The sequence below is a fragment of the Homo sapiens genome, chromosome 13, assembly GCF_000001405.40.
Source record: "Homo sapiens chromosome 13, GRCh38.p14 Primary Assembly".
In the NCBI taxonomy this organism is placed as follows: domain Eukaryota; kingdom Metazoa; phylum Chordata; class Mammalia; order Primates; family Hominidae; genus Homo; species Homo sapiens.
Genome location: NC_000013.11, coordinates 58,730,991 through 58,745,486, shown reverse-complemented (window position 1 = coordinate 58,745,486; position 14,496 = coordinate 58,730,991). Strand labels below are relative to the sequence as shown.

General features: G+C 33.0%; 1 long non-coding RNA gene across 2 annotated transcripts in view; it reads right to left on the bottom strand.

The window, feature by feature from the left end:
• The window catches only part of LOC105370220 (uncharacterized), a 49,062-nt gene that overhangs the window by 18,841 nt on the left and 15,725 nt on the right, over nucleotides 1–14,496 (bottom strand). For both annotated transcript variants that reach the window (XR_941987.3, XR_941989.3), the window contains exon 5: nucleotides 1,591–1,714. This is a non-coding gene — a long non-coding RNA (uncharacterized LOC105370220). The remainder of the gene's footprint in view (nucleotides 1–1,590; nucleotides 1,715–14,496) is intronic.

Here is a 14,496-nt window from a genome sequence, read left to right as displayed (position 1 = left end):
AGACCGCGCCATTGTACCCCAGCCTGGGTGACAGAGCGAGACTCTGTCTCAAAAAAAAAACAACGACAACAAAAACAACAAAAAGCCAAAAATTGAAAAACAAAACAAAAAAACCCCATAAACTTCTGTTTCACACCCTCCTCACCTCTATTCTCTTCCCTACTTTCCCCCACCCTCACTGCTAAAAACTGAGCCTCCTGAAGGGTCAGTGCTACTCTGGGCTATATTAGAGAATCAGACAATCTTTTCTAAATGTAACTCTGCATTCACAATTTAACTTTAAAATATGACATTTTGTGTGCTTATGGAAATCAGATACCAGAATTTACAATTTTCCAATGATAAAAGGTCATGTAGGAAAATGGTAAAGAGGGGTAAATAGCCAACATAGAATATGTAGAATATGAGACAGGACAAGCCCACAGAAAAAAGTACTAAGAGGGTGAAAATTTCAAGGCAGAAAGTTTTGCAAGATATTTTGAGAAAAAAGTAATAAAATGTAGGGGCTTTAAAAATGTAATCAAGAAAAGAAGAGAGGGATAGGTATAATGATTGAATGTTGATAAGTGACAAAGAGAAGGCAAAGACACTCAACTCTATTTTACTTGTCTTTGCTTGTCATTGTGAGTGATCTATGAACTAGAAAGGATAGAATGAATGTTGTTGAGAGAAATTTAAGTTTAAAGCGGGTGAAAAGATTGTAATAGCTCTGAACAAGTTTAGCAATTCTGGCTCAGATGAAATACATCCCAAAACAAGGAAGGAGTTTGCCCATGAGACAGTCAGGCCACTGTAATTGATATCTAGAATTTTAAAAAGAAAAAAAAGGAGCTATATATTACAGGATGTTTCTTAAACTAACAACAATGGCAACAATAATTTATGAAATAAGAGGAGAAAGGGAAGAGAAATAAATTTCCTTGTAATGAATGATTACTGAGTGATGTTGATCTCAGACCAAATTCAGAACCAATTTTGTTATGGAAAGTAACAACTATTCAAAACCAGCATGGAGTCACTGAGAATGAAATGTGGAAAATGAGTTTTGTAATCTCCTTTCAGGGCAATGAATATGTCTTGATTGGGTGTACCTGATAAAAATAAAGGTGTTTTTTTTTTTCTTTAATTTCTCCCTTTGGCAGCCTAGCAAGGCTAAAGATCAGGATAAATCTAAAAATATACTGTATCTAAATTTCAGAAAATCATTTTTTATGAATACTTTTGCATAACGTCTTGAAATAAAGAATAAAACATTAATTGTAGTATGATGTGGGTTGGTGGTTCAATCTAGTTAACGGAAAATAAAATGTGATTCAGACAAAGCTGCAAGTAAACCAGCCATGCTGCAGTTAGCCTTAAGCCATTCTGAACAGCTATGCCTTATCGGTTAGAATGAGGAAGACAAAGCCACAACCACCAATGCAAAACAGTGGAACAGAGTCTGTGGAAGCAGAGACACCAAGGTGCCCAACCACATCTCTGAAAGCCAACCTTGCCATCCTTTCAGAGTAAGCACACTAACACAGAGCTGGTGAAGAGAGGATAAACTTTGCATAGACACAGGATAAGGCTGTATCATTTAAGGCTTACCTTGAAAATGTCAGATCGCAGAAGAGTGTCTTAAAAGTCTGTTTTTCTAAGAACATGTGACTTCACATAAAATCCAGGTGGTCGGGAAGCAAGTCATGGTGTGATCTCCAATGGCTATGGCAACCTGTCATAATCCAAGAAACTGTCAATGTCCTTTTAGTCAATGAGGCTTTCAGATCACATATTAGGGGTTACAAATTCTAGTTGATATTTAAGATTCAAAAGACAGAAAAATATCACTTAATTTGCATAGGCTTGTAGCCATTTTTTTTGGAAATTTCCTGGAAAGGGATACTGGCGGGAAGCAAGAGGACTTTACTCTTATTAAATTAATGGTAGTAGTAGAAAGCATAGAAGTAGAAAGTAGTAGCAGCAGTAGCTTACCAGGATCACTACTAACAGCAATCTGGGTTTCCCATCAGAACTTTATACTTAGAGAAGCGTATTTGGAGTACTAATCAAAGTAACTACTAAACATGATTCTTGCCAGAAACCTGATCCTTTGGACTGGACCAACATGAAGATGGAGCTCAATAGCACTTATTAATTTATTAATTTGCGATCATCCAGGAACCCACCTTTCATCTTTATGTGCTAGCTTTGAAGCCAGGAAGGAGACATAAAGAAGTACTACAGACCAAGCAGCTAAGAATTGCATCATCCTCCCTGGGCTTGTAGTTTTGCTTGAAATTACATTCAATTAAGTGAGAAGGAACTGGGTAGAAGACATGGTTATACATAATATTTCTATTATTCTGTTTCAACTGGTAAGGACCTGAAGTTATCGGTAAAGAAGATCAAGAACTCTTATGTCAATGAACCTTGGAAGGCTAGGCAGGTGTAGGAAGGATGAATTCTCAGTCCACCACTTATAAACTATACGAATTTGGACAAGTTGAAACCATTTTCGGTTGTATATCCCTATATATAAAAAGGGAAAAACTGTACTTATTTCACTTCATCAATAAAATAAGGTCATATGAACTAAACCACATAGCACAGGCTGTCATTACTTCAGGTAGAAAGCGTTAAGACCACAAAGATCACATTCATTTTTTCCAACATTATTAGTGCCTCACACAAGGTAGAGTATTTCTTAAATTAAGAAGTTCTATTATATTCACAATTTTTGAACAAATATTTGCATGAAATTAGGGAATACATGTTTAAATGGGCAAATGACACATGTTTGGCCAACACACACAGGTCTTAGAGAGACAGCATTTCCTGTAAGAAAAAAATATGGTATTTGGAGTAAAATGAAATAAATAGAAAGCTTGGTGCTACTGCATGATTCCATCATAAACTAGCTCTGTGACCTTGGATATCTTGAGTCAAGATATAAAATATAAAGCTCCAAAACACAGAGCTTCAAGTTTTTTAATTTTTGTGATGATAGATGATTAGATTATGTAATATTAAAAGTAATTTTTAAATCTGTACTTTTGTAATTATAATTTTGTATTTTAACCTGGATTTGAAGAAAATGAAACCACTGATTTTAACAGAATAATTCTCATAAGAAGACATTTTCTTCTCAGTTATAGCACATAGCTTGTAAGTATATGGAACAATATGTATATTTTTAGCAATGTACACGTTTATGCATATTTATCAGACAAGTATTGAAAATTTTACCTGGGAGATATAACCTTATGGCGTTCCTTTATTTCTTTCTTTTGATATATTTGAGAGCTCTATAAGACATTCAAATGTGAATCTATTTGTGTATGTTAATATAACACAATTTTACAAAAAAAGAAATATAATATATACTTTATTGTAAAAATAAACTGAAAATATAATGTTGATTCATAATATGTATGATAAATAAACCTTTCTATATTTCACCTCCTATAATGTTGTCTAATTGTTTTGAGAATTTTTACTCATATTGTGTCAGCAAGATGTCATATCTTACCTTGAGAAACTGATGTCAATTAATCCAGTGATATACTGCAATTTATTTCTGGTAACCAGAGAAACCATTTTTACATACAGATAAATGTATTACATTAAAGTGATCTCGGGAAGCACTGAGATAATTCTTACAATTGAAGAGCACACTTTTTTTCTTCATCAAGTAAATTTAAAATATTGATTGGAAAATGCTAAACTTGCAAGTATGTTTTGTTCAGTCCATACATTGACTATATTAAATAATGATAATAACAGCAGCATTAAACTACATTAAGGACATGGCTTGAACTAACAAAGCTAAGAAATTTTAAGGTGACATGGAAATTTATCATTTATAGCAATTTCTAACCATTAAGGCCCTTTGAAATCATAGTGACATTTTCTGCTTTAAGCACCACAGAATCAAGACATTCAGCCAGTCCAGGCACTGCATAGAATCTATAAAGAGAGCAGGTGTTTTGTGTGTCTAACCACAGTGGATTCGTTGAAAGATGATGCTTCATTATGAATTCAGAATACCTCAAGCATTTCCTCTTTCACACTGCATTGTTGACATTTGTATTAGAGTAAAATCCACATTTAAAAGTGAAGTCCTTTACAAACTACCTGCCTTCAATCTCTGCCTTATAGTCTGTCTCATCTGCTACTGGGAGCATATCACTTCCCTTCCTCAGCCACTTTAAGGATTCTGATAAATATAGAGTCAAAGTGGCAGTTACTCTTTACTAAATTGTCAAAATTTTAACATCTGATCACAAAATAGTAATAATAATTATGCTGAAAGAAATTTATTATTCAATAATTATTAATTTTGGTAAGCACCATTATTATGAATATCAATGGTTAACTTTTATAAAGTGATTGCTTTTTGCAAAGAACCATGGTGAATGAAATACATTCTTTCATTTTTTATACGAGAGATCCCATTTCAAATGTGTACCACCACAATTGACGCAGAAACTTTGTTTTATAGTACACTGAATTAATGTATGTTTTTCAAATGCATGTATGGTTAAGTAATCAGGTATCTAGCAAGTACCTATTATGGTTTAAAAGATTAGCTAGATATAATACAAATGAGTTTGCAATCTAATTGGTAAGACAACATAATGAAATAATTTTAAAAACGCAACCTGTATATAAATGTAATTGATGGTCTTTCTTTATTAAATAGGAAAAAAGTATGGTTATGGGTATATCTAAGACCTCAGAGACATAAACTTGAGATATGGCTGACAGGCTGGCAATATTCTACACTATCCAAATGTGCTGCTCCCCATGCCTGAAATAAGCAAATTGTTTGGGAGAAACTTGATGTATCTCTATTGCCTTTGAAAACCTGGGGGAAAAACAAAACAAAACAAAACAAAAACTCAAACTGAAAGATTTAAGAGTATCTGTGGACTAATTATTTTTCCAGACTGATAGCTAAAACTTTGGGAAAGAATGAAGAAATGGAAGCTGGCTGTTTTATTCATAGTTGAGGATATCAGTTTTCTGGTACTCTAGTTATGACAAAGCAATGGGCAAGGAGACTGGTTGCTGCTTCCTCACATGGTGGAAGGCTAAAGGGCAAAATTGACTGAGAGTTTCTTCAAACCCTTTTACAAGTGTCTTAATCCCATTTGTGAGGACAGACCCCCACTTCTCAATACCACCTCATTGGGTCTTAGGCTCCTATGAATTTTGGGGGACACATATATTCAAACCATAGCAATAGCATATTAATAGCATAAGTATTAATATGACTTGGTGAGCAGAGAAATGTGAAGAGAAATGCACTATGTAATTGATTGAATGTTTGTGTTTCCCCAAAATTCATATGGTGAAGCTCTAAACCACAATGTGATAGTGTTTGGGAGATCATTCGGTTTAGAGTGGGATTATTATCCTTATAAGAAGATACATCAGAGTGTTTGCTCTCTCTAGCCTCTCCATGTGAGGACACAGCAAGAAGGTGGCAGTCTGAAAGCCAAGAAAACAACCTTCACCAGAACCCAAGCAGGCTGACACCCCAGTCTTGGACTTCCGGTCTCCAGAACTGTGAGAAAATAATTTTTTGTTGTTTAAGCCATTCATTCCACCTTATTTTGCTATAGCTGTCCAAGCTGACTAACATACATGTCTCTAACTTATTCAATGAAAAGGAGTAACAGAGGAGGAACATATTGAGAACATTTATAATTTTATGCTTTATTGTTACATGCATGATTTGTGAAGCCAAGTAGAGAGTCTATGAGCAGGGGTACAAATAAGAAAAATAAAGAGAATTAATATTATTGTGGATTCATGTTGCACCAAAATCTGGCTGTTAGGAAATACAACATAAATACAAAATAGGTATGATTTGAAAGAATGGCTCATATAATATACATATTATATTATATATATTATATTTTTTATATATTATATATAATATAATATATATTACATATTATATATTATATAACATATATTACATATTATATATTATATAACATATATTACATATTATATATTATATAACATATATTACATATTATATATTATATATATTATTTATAATATATTACATATTATATATTATATGTATTATTTATAATATATATTACATATTATATATTATATGTATTATTTATAATATATATTACGTATTATATATTATATGTATTATTTATAATATATATTACGTATTATATATTATATATATTATTTATTATATATATTACATATTATATATATTATATATATTATATAATATATAATATATATTACATATTATATATTATATATTATTTATAATATATATAATATATTATATATATTATATTATATAATATTAATAATTAATAATATTATTATTATATTAATTAATAACATTAATAATAATATTATATATTGTATAATTAATAATATATATTGTATAATATATAATATTTTATAATATATAATATATATAATATATTATATATATACATACACACACAAACAAAATGAAGATTACAGTTAAAAATTTGTAAAAGATTTCCAACTTAACAAAAAACCGTCTGTATGCAAATAATAGAGAACTTGAACTGTATGAGCATCTGTTTGAAATCTAATTCTGCTAAAAGGATGGCACCTAATAAATTTGCTATTTACCTTGCTGACAATTTCATCTTGCATGAGGAAGCAAATGCGCAATTGCTGGATTTCATTCAGACAGGGAAAGAAAATTGGCTGAGGTTGTAAGAGTGATGGAAACCTTTCAATTAAAGTGGTTGTGTCTATTTAGAATTGAGAAGGACAGAGTTGCATAGCAGACTCAAAGACATACTCTCGACTATTCTTACGAAAGCTGAAAAAGGTGAATGTGACCCTACAATTTTCATAGGTAACTCTAAAGCATGTGTCAAGAGTGTTGAAATGTTCTGAAATAATTTTTATGAAACATTTCTGCATAACTATTGTGCTTAAGAACAGTAGGAGACAGCAAGGGGATCCTATAGGATAGTTTGGGGGAATCTACAATAAGCTTGAATCTAAAGCGGCTTTCCAAAGATGAAAAGCAGGGCACAAAACCAAGACAAATGCAAAATAAAACCAAGAAATTTTAAGAATAGAAATAAGTTAAATCCAGAAATAAGTTACTGAGAAAAATGCTAAATTCTGTTGTTAGAACAGAAAAAGAATATATGTTAACAAGGTAACTGTCACATCTTAGAGAGAAAAGTGCAATATTCATGGAAGGTAGAATCAAAGCTAAATGATCAATTTCTGAATAATTTTGCTTAGTTCAGTAAGAGGATTGGTCTTCACCAATTATCTCCTAATAATCTTTTTTACACACCAATAATAAAGGATACAAGCCTGGAGTTGTCTCAGATCGAGTTCCCTAGAAGCAAATACTGAGATGGAGATTTGTATAAAAATGATTCTTGTATAAAAAAGGTTCTTGGTGGAGTAGTGGCGGGAATAGAAACGTGTTGCAGAAAACAAAGTGTATTCACTTCCTAGGGCTGCTGCAACAAAGTGCCACAAAATGGGTGGCTTAAACAACAGAAATGTATTGTCTCAGTTTTGGATATTTGATATCTAAGATTGCGTGTTGGCAGGGTTGGTTTCTTCTGAGGGCTGAGAAGGTAAATCTGTTCCAGACATTTCTCCGAGCTTCTGGTGATTTGCTGACAATCTTGGACTTTTCTAAACTTGTAGATTCACCACCCCATCTCTGCCTTCATCTTCACATGGCATTCTCCCTGTATGTGTGTCTGTTTCCAAACTCCTCTTTTTTATAAGGCTATCAGTCAGTTGTTAGGGATCACCCTAGTAGCAACATTTTAGTTTGCTTACCATTGTAAACACCCTATTTCAAAATAAGGTCCTCTTCTAAAGTTTTGAGAATCAGGACTTCAATGTATCCTTTTTGAGGGACACAATTAAACCCATAACAAGATGGGAAGCCAAACAAGAGTGTAATGTCTAGCTAAATTCCATATTAGATAATTTGGCACAATTCCCCAGGAACTCTGCAGAAATCGTAGCCTGCATTTCGGGGTTACCTGTCCAGGAACAAGAAAATGGGAGTATTTATTCCACTGCACCATCATGCTTTGGTTAGTGATTGCCCTGGGTAGGGATACGTTTCCAGATACTCCCAAATCTAGACCTAGCACTCTCATGCCAAGACTCTAGTAAAGGACTGAAGGAACTGGCTTTTGGGGTTGAAAGCACATTGAGAGCCAGTAATGCATGAAAATGACAAAAGGACTTGAGAGGCTATAAGCAAACACTAACAATGTCTGTTTTAAAGTGTCACAAAAGAGAAAATAATTCATTTAAATGCTTTTACATCTCTAGAAGTGGAAGAATTCTATTATACGATGCTTAAAAATATATTGTAATTTTAACCATAAAATCACTGTAAATAATCTTTGAGAAATATGGGAAATACAAAAGATTATTTAATATTGGTAATGAGCACATGTTCTATTTTTGAGAAGACAAAGTATTCATTCTGGTAAATTTGATGTATAATGAGAGTATTTAGAAATGACATCATTTGTCACTATTAGTCAACATGAATTGTTCATGAATTCATTGTGAACAAAAGAAAAAATAACATAATGTATTTTCAAATACATTTCAAGGGAGTATTTAGAGGGTTGCCTGTTTGAACAACTTTACAGGTGCCATTTACATGGTGTTCCAAGAAACTATGTAGCGCACAATTATCTTGGTCAATTATAGTGGACCTGTACATGCAGATAAGTGTAATAATTTATCTTGACTTTAAGAGTACATTTAATAAAGATTCTAAGTAACATTCTTATAAACACAATGGAGAAATAGCTGTATCTGTAGCCGATTAGACTCTATGTTGATGAATAGAACTGTACAGAGCTAGGAGGTCAGTAGTAGCATACAAATGGATTGATTTTTAGATTTTTCTGAAATATTATCAATTGCCATGGTAAAAGCATATTTTATCAAAATGTCTTATTTATTTATTTGGTTTTAAAGAAAAACCCAGTGTCTTGAACACCTACAGCATGTCACAGCTATTATTGAATCTGAGAAACAAAGTTGAAGGACATGGTCCTTTTCCAAAGGTGCTTACAGCCTGGCTGAAAATCTACCTTAATAGTCAAAATAATACTAACTAAAATATATCAGTTCCTATAAGTAAATCACTAGGCAATAGACTTTACAATCAGCAATAGTTGCTAGGAACATTTCATAGTTTCTCTCCACTTTTACTTTACCAAAGAGAAGTGGTGCTGATTTTTCATGCAATCCGAACATATTTATTGAGTGGGCTAGATTTCTGGAGGTCCAAACATTAATAGCAGGGTAATACGCCTGACATGGTCGAATGTGTCATCAGTCTTTCTTTAAGATTATTTTGTTCTATATACTTGGAATTGTAAGAACAACTCAGAGGTGATAAGGGCTGTTATGCTAGCCATATGAAGATTTGGAGTAGTCAGCCGAGGTCAGGTCTCTTAATGACTGGTCTGTTCTACCTACTACAGGCTTTTCCATTCCGCAAAGTAGAGAGAAATAAGATTTGAGTTTGGTCTTAAAACGAATGGAGCAATAGAGTCTACCAACTTTAGGGTCAATTCGAAGTATTAAACCTACCACTGATATAAGGAAAAGCAATCAAGTTTGATTCATTAGAGTTCTATGTCGTGGTTAAGGCAAAATCCTTACTTGTAACAAAGTATGCTCCTTCTCTGCTTTTCATATATATTAGAACATTAAGTTCTTAGAGTGGATTTTCTGGAAATGGCTTCTGAGATGGGAAGTTGCATGAAGAATATTCACTGAGGAGTGATTGGTCTTGTGTAACATATTTGTAAGAAAGTGAGGAACATTGGACTGGGCAGAAGGTGAAGTTGACCCTTAATGCAATTGTGACTGAAAGTTTAGTTATTATTCAGAGTCCTGGATATGGGATAATTTTTTAAAACCTATTTGTACCAATTTGTAACACAGAGGCTAACCTTTTGTTTCTTTATATCAGTCTGTCATTGGCTGTGGTGGCCTCTGAGCAAGGGGGTTCCTCGTGGCCAAAGACAATCCTCAACGTGGGGCGGAGCTATCATCTGCCACCAGTTTCTATTTCCAGAATTTGGGGTTAGAGTGATAGACTTTTAAAAATGGTTCTGCGTGGAACTACAGTATTCATTACATTGGTTAAAAATATTGAAAAAAAGAGGAAGGACAATGTAGGGGGGAAATTTTCCTAGATACTTCCAATAAAAGAACATATGCAACCAAAACAGTATGGTTGTTTTGGAGAACACGTAACAGGCTAGATTCAGGGTAGGTTAATAAAAATAATGTAAGACACAAAAGACTTCAACAGCTAGGGATCGATGTGACTAGAAAAGTCAGACACTCGTGGTGGAATTGTGGAGAGCCATCTGTTGGGATATTAAAGATTTGTCACCATGGACATCAGTGTAAATAATACAGTTCTACAGACTAATTTCTTGTGCTCTTTTTAACTCTGAGTTTTAGCAAAACTCAGTATAGATTACTGAGATTTCACAGGCTACCAAAATTAAAACGTTAAAATTATTTTATATATATATATGTTTGTGTGTACATATGTGCGTGTGTATATATGTGTGTACATGTGTGTAAGTGTATATTATATGTGTGTGTATGTGTGTGTGTACACTCACATATACAGACTTGTTCTTTTTACAAGGAAAAGGATATATTTATATATGGTTGTTCTTAGTAAAAAAATAAAATAATATCTATTATATAGCAAACTTTAAAAATAGCTGTTGAATTTTATGCCATAAATTTCCCAAAGTTCAAAATTTGGGGAGTCTGGTTTTCAGAATAACAACTTATGTAGGATCTTCCGTGCTCTGTTATGTTTTCAATATAACATTATTTGATTACTTTACAGGTGTCTTATTCAGTTTAGGCTGCTATACCAAAATATCATAGCATGGTGGCTTACAAACAACAGAAAATTATTTCTCACAGTCTGGAGACTGGGAAGTCCAAGATCCAGGTGCCAACCTATTTGGTGTCTAATGAAGTCCCACTTTCTTGTTCACAGATGGCTGCCTTCTTCTTGTGTCCTCATATGGCAGAAAAGATGAGGGATCTATCTGGATTCTCTTTTTATAAGGGAATAAATCCCACTTAAAAAGGCTCCACCCCCATGATTTAATCAACTTGCAAAGGCTCCATCTCCAAATATGATAACATTGAGGATTAGGTTTTAACGTATGAATTTTGGGAAGACACAAAGATTTAATCAATAGCAGATACTTACATTAAGTACTATACAAACTTGGCTGTTTTTAAGGAACTCATGTTCCAAAAGGTTGGTGCTGATCATAATCCCAAAAGACACAATTCCTAATGCCATAATCCATAATGTTGAAATCCTAAAAAATCAAAATCCTTGAAGTCTAAAATCTCTAGTTTTTAAAATCCTAAAAATTACAATGCTGAAATATTAAAATCCTGAATGTTGAAATCATTAAAGCTAAATTCTGGGGAAAGAATTAGTGTGTTTTTGGTTGTATGCAGGATAATTGCATCATGTTAGCCAAAACTATTACCTTGTTATTGTCTTTATTTGGATATTAAGTTTCAGTTAAGGAGATGTATACAGTTGCCAAGTTGACAAGGGGTGGACTTGTGGACTTTAGGTGTCAACTTGACTGACTAAGGAATATATAGAAACCTGGTAAAACTTTATTTGGGGTGTATCTGTGTGGATGTTTCCAGGGTAGATTAGGGTGTGAGTCTGAGTGGATTCAGTGGGGAAGGTATTCCCTCAGTATTGTTGGGCATCATCCAATTGGCCAGGGACCTGAAGACAATAATACAGAAAGTGAATTCTCTCTCTGAGAGCTGAGACAGACCTTTGCTGCCTTTGACATCAGAACTTCAGGCTCATTGAGCGTTGGACTCCAAGATTTATACCAGTGGCCCCCTGGGTCCTGAGGTTTTCAGTTACACCAGCAGCTTTCCTGACTCTGAGGTCTTTGGACTTGGACTAAGCCATGCTACTGATATCCCAGGGTCTCCAGTTTGCAGATGGCAGTCATAGGATTTCACAGCCACCATAATTGTCTGAGCTAATTCCCCTAAAAATTTCCCGCCTTATGTATCTATATACATACCCTATTGGTTCTTTGGAAAACCCTGACTAATACTGATTTGGTACTGGGAAAGCCGAATATAATTCCTTCTTATTATATTCCTTACAACACCATGAAATTGCCCCCCTCACAAAAAAAGCGGTGATAAGTTAAGTGTATGAGGCTACTTAATGGTGAAAGATAAAAGTTTAAAAGCTAATTATTACTGGTGCTGTGAAAGCAGAAAATCACTTAATTGCAACAGCTGAGCAATAACCAGACTTTCAAACGGATAGCATATTCTTACGAAATAGACCACAATCACTCTCTAAAATACAAGTGCAGCAAGTGTTTAGAGGATCATAGAAGTGAGAATGTAGGTGAAAAATACAAGAAATCGTCCATGCCAAATTATTCAATTGTGTACAACTTCTGCCCATTCACACACGGCGCAAATTTGCTAGGCTATATATTTTATCTTTGCAGCATTTCTAATACTGGAGGTATAAATTGTGTCAAGACTTTTAGAGATTTCTAATTAACTTCATACATTTTTGGCAGATTCGACTCCATAAAAGTGCATTATCACAATGTTGAGTTTATGTGTAAGCATTGTGTGTGTACATAAAACTGTTTGAAATTTCTTAGCACAGGGAGATATTTCTTTTTTTGTGAATCTGTATTTGTGAAAAACAGAATTTTCTGAGATCTTTGTTCTTTGGGTGATTGCATATGTCATGGTGACACATCTGGATTTTTGATCAATCTCGTCAAAAGACTCAGATTATCTATCAGAATATTTAAATGACCGCAATTTTAAGGCTGGGTGCACATAATTACCAACCATAGTGATATGTGTTTATACCTCTTGCTTTTTGACCTACCTCTTTATGAATACAGTTTGTCTACTCATAACTGTTATACTCATGAAACATCCTTAGTATACCTGAGTGTTTATGCTTGCAAAAATATGTACATTGCTATTGCCTAGTGACCTATAAAGTTTTCTGTCATGTTTTTATGTTTTCAGATAAACTGTCTTTAAAAAATGTAAATAAATATCTTTTAAATAATGTGTAAACATTATTTTTCCAGAATTATATTTTTGCAGTTTTGATCTCTTGGGATTATATTTTTTGAGATTTTTGACTTTAGAGACTTTTATCTTTCAGGATTTCAACATTCAGCATTATGGCATACAGGATTGTGTCTTCTGGGATTTTGGCCCAAACTCTCAAAAGTTGCCTTTTATGTATATACGTACATCTTTTTTGTTGTTGCTTATATGTGTCTTGAATACACTTAGCTTTTTCTTACATTTGGCATATCAAGGTAATTTGTCATAGTTTAATCTACAATGTTTCTTAATATTTTCTGAATTATTTCTGTTGTTGGTTAAATTCTACAAATCTCTCCAATTTTCTCTGATAAAATACTAAACTATTAAACCTAACTTTTTGTTTTTTTGTTCATTTTGTAAATGAATTTATTTACAAATATTTAGCATTCCTAAGTGTCTGATATTATTTTCTGTACCAATTTGTTGATTGAACTGGTATGACAGAATAACTTGCGATTAGAAGTTAGTAACTTATTAACATGTATTATTATTTCTTTCTCCTTTTACTCCTTCATTTTTGTCTATATTTCTGAAGGTAAGCTTAAATTTTAATTTTGATTTTGTAATTTTTCGATACAGTAGGCCTCTCTTCCTGTTGGATTCTGTCCTGTAGGCCACCATATAAGCTTTGGAATATATTTGAGGGAAGTTTCAATAAAATCTTCTATGAGATTTTTAGGGAGATGAATGAGTTAAAATATCTGAACAAACAAGGCCAGGATAGAAAGCCCTCTTAGCGTTCATCAAGACTAATTTGCATATTCAAATTACCAAACACAATGCATTTCTAACGCTTGAATATATATGCATATATCTATAAGCATACTCAAATACTGTATATATTTTCAATTACATGTTGGATGGATTGAAATCTTCAATGAATTAAATGATACAGAATAATATGTACATCTTTTAAGTGGATGTTTAAGAGTGCTAAGCAATATGTGAAACAATTATGCAAATATATGCACTAATATATTTAGAGTAATTAGATGCCATAGAAAAGAAAGGAGACCTTCTGGTGTATGTTAATTTATTAGGTCTGCATTGATGTATGATGAAAATCTCAGTTTCTATTTTTCTTTCAGCACTAATATATTGCATGTGGTTTACATATATTTAAGGAAATACTTTTAAAACAGAATTTGAATATTTAGAGTTTATAGAATGCTTTGGTGCAAAACTAAACTAAGGTAAGCTATTAAGTGCTTATCCCAAGGTTTTATTTCAGTTAATGCCTACAAGACAGACAGAGAGACATTATTTGGTATATATTTTATTTAT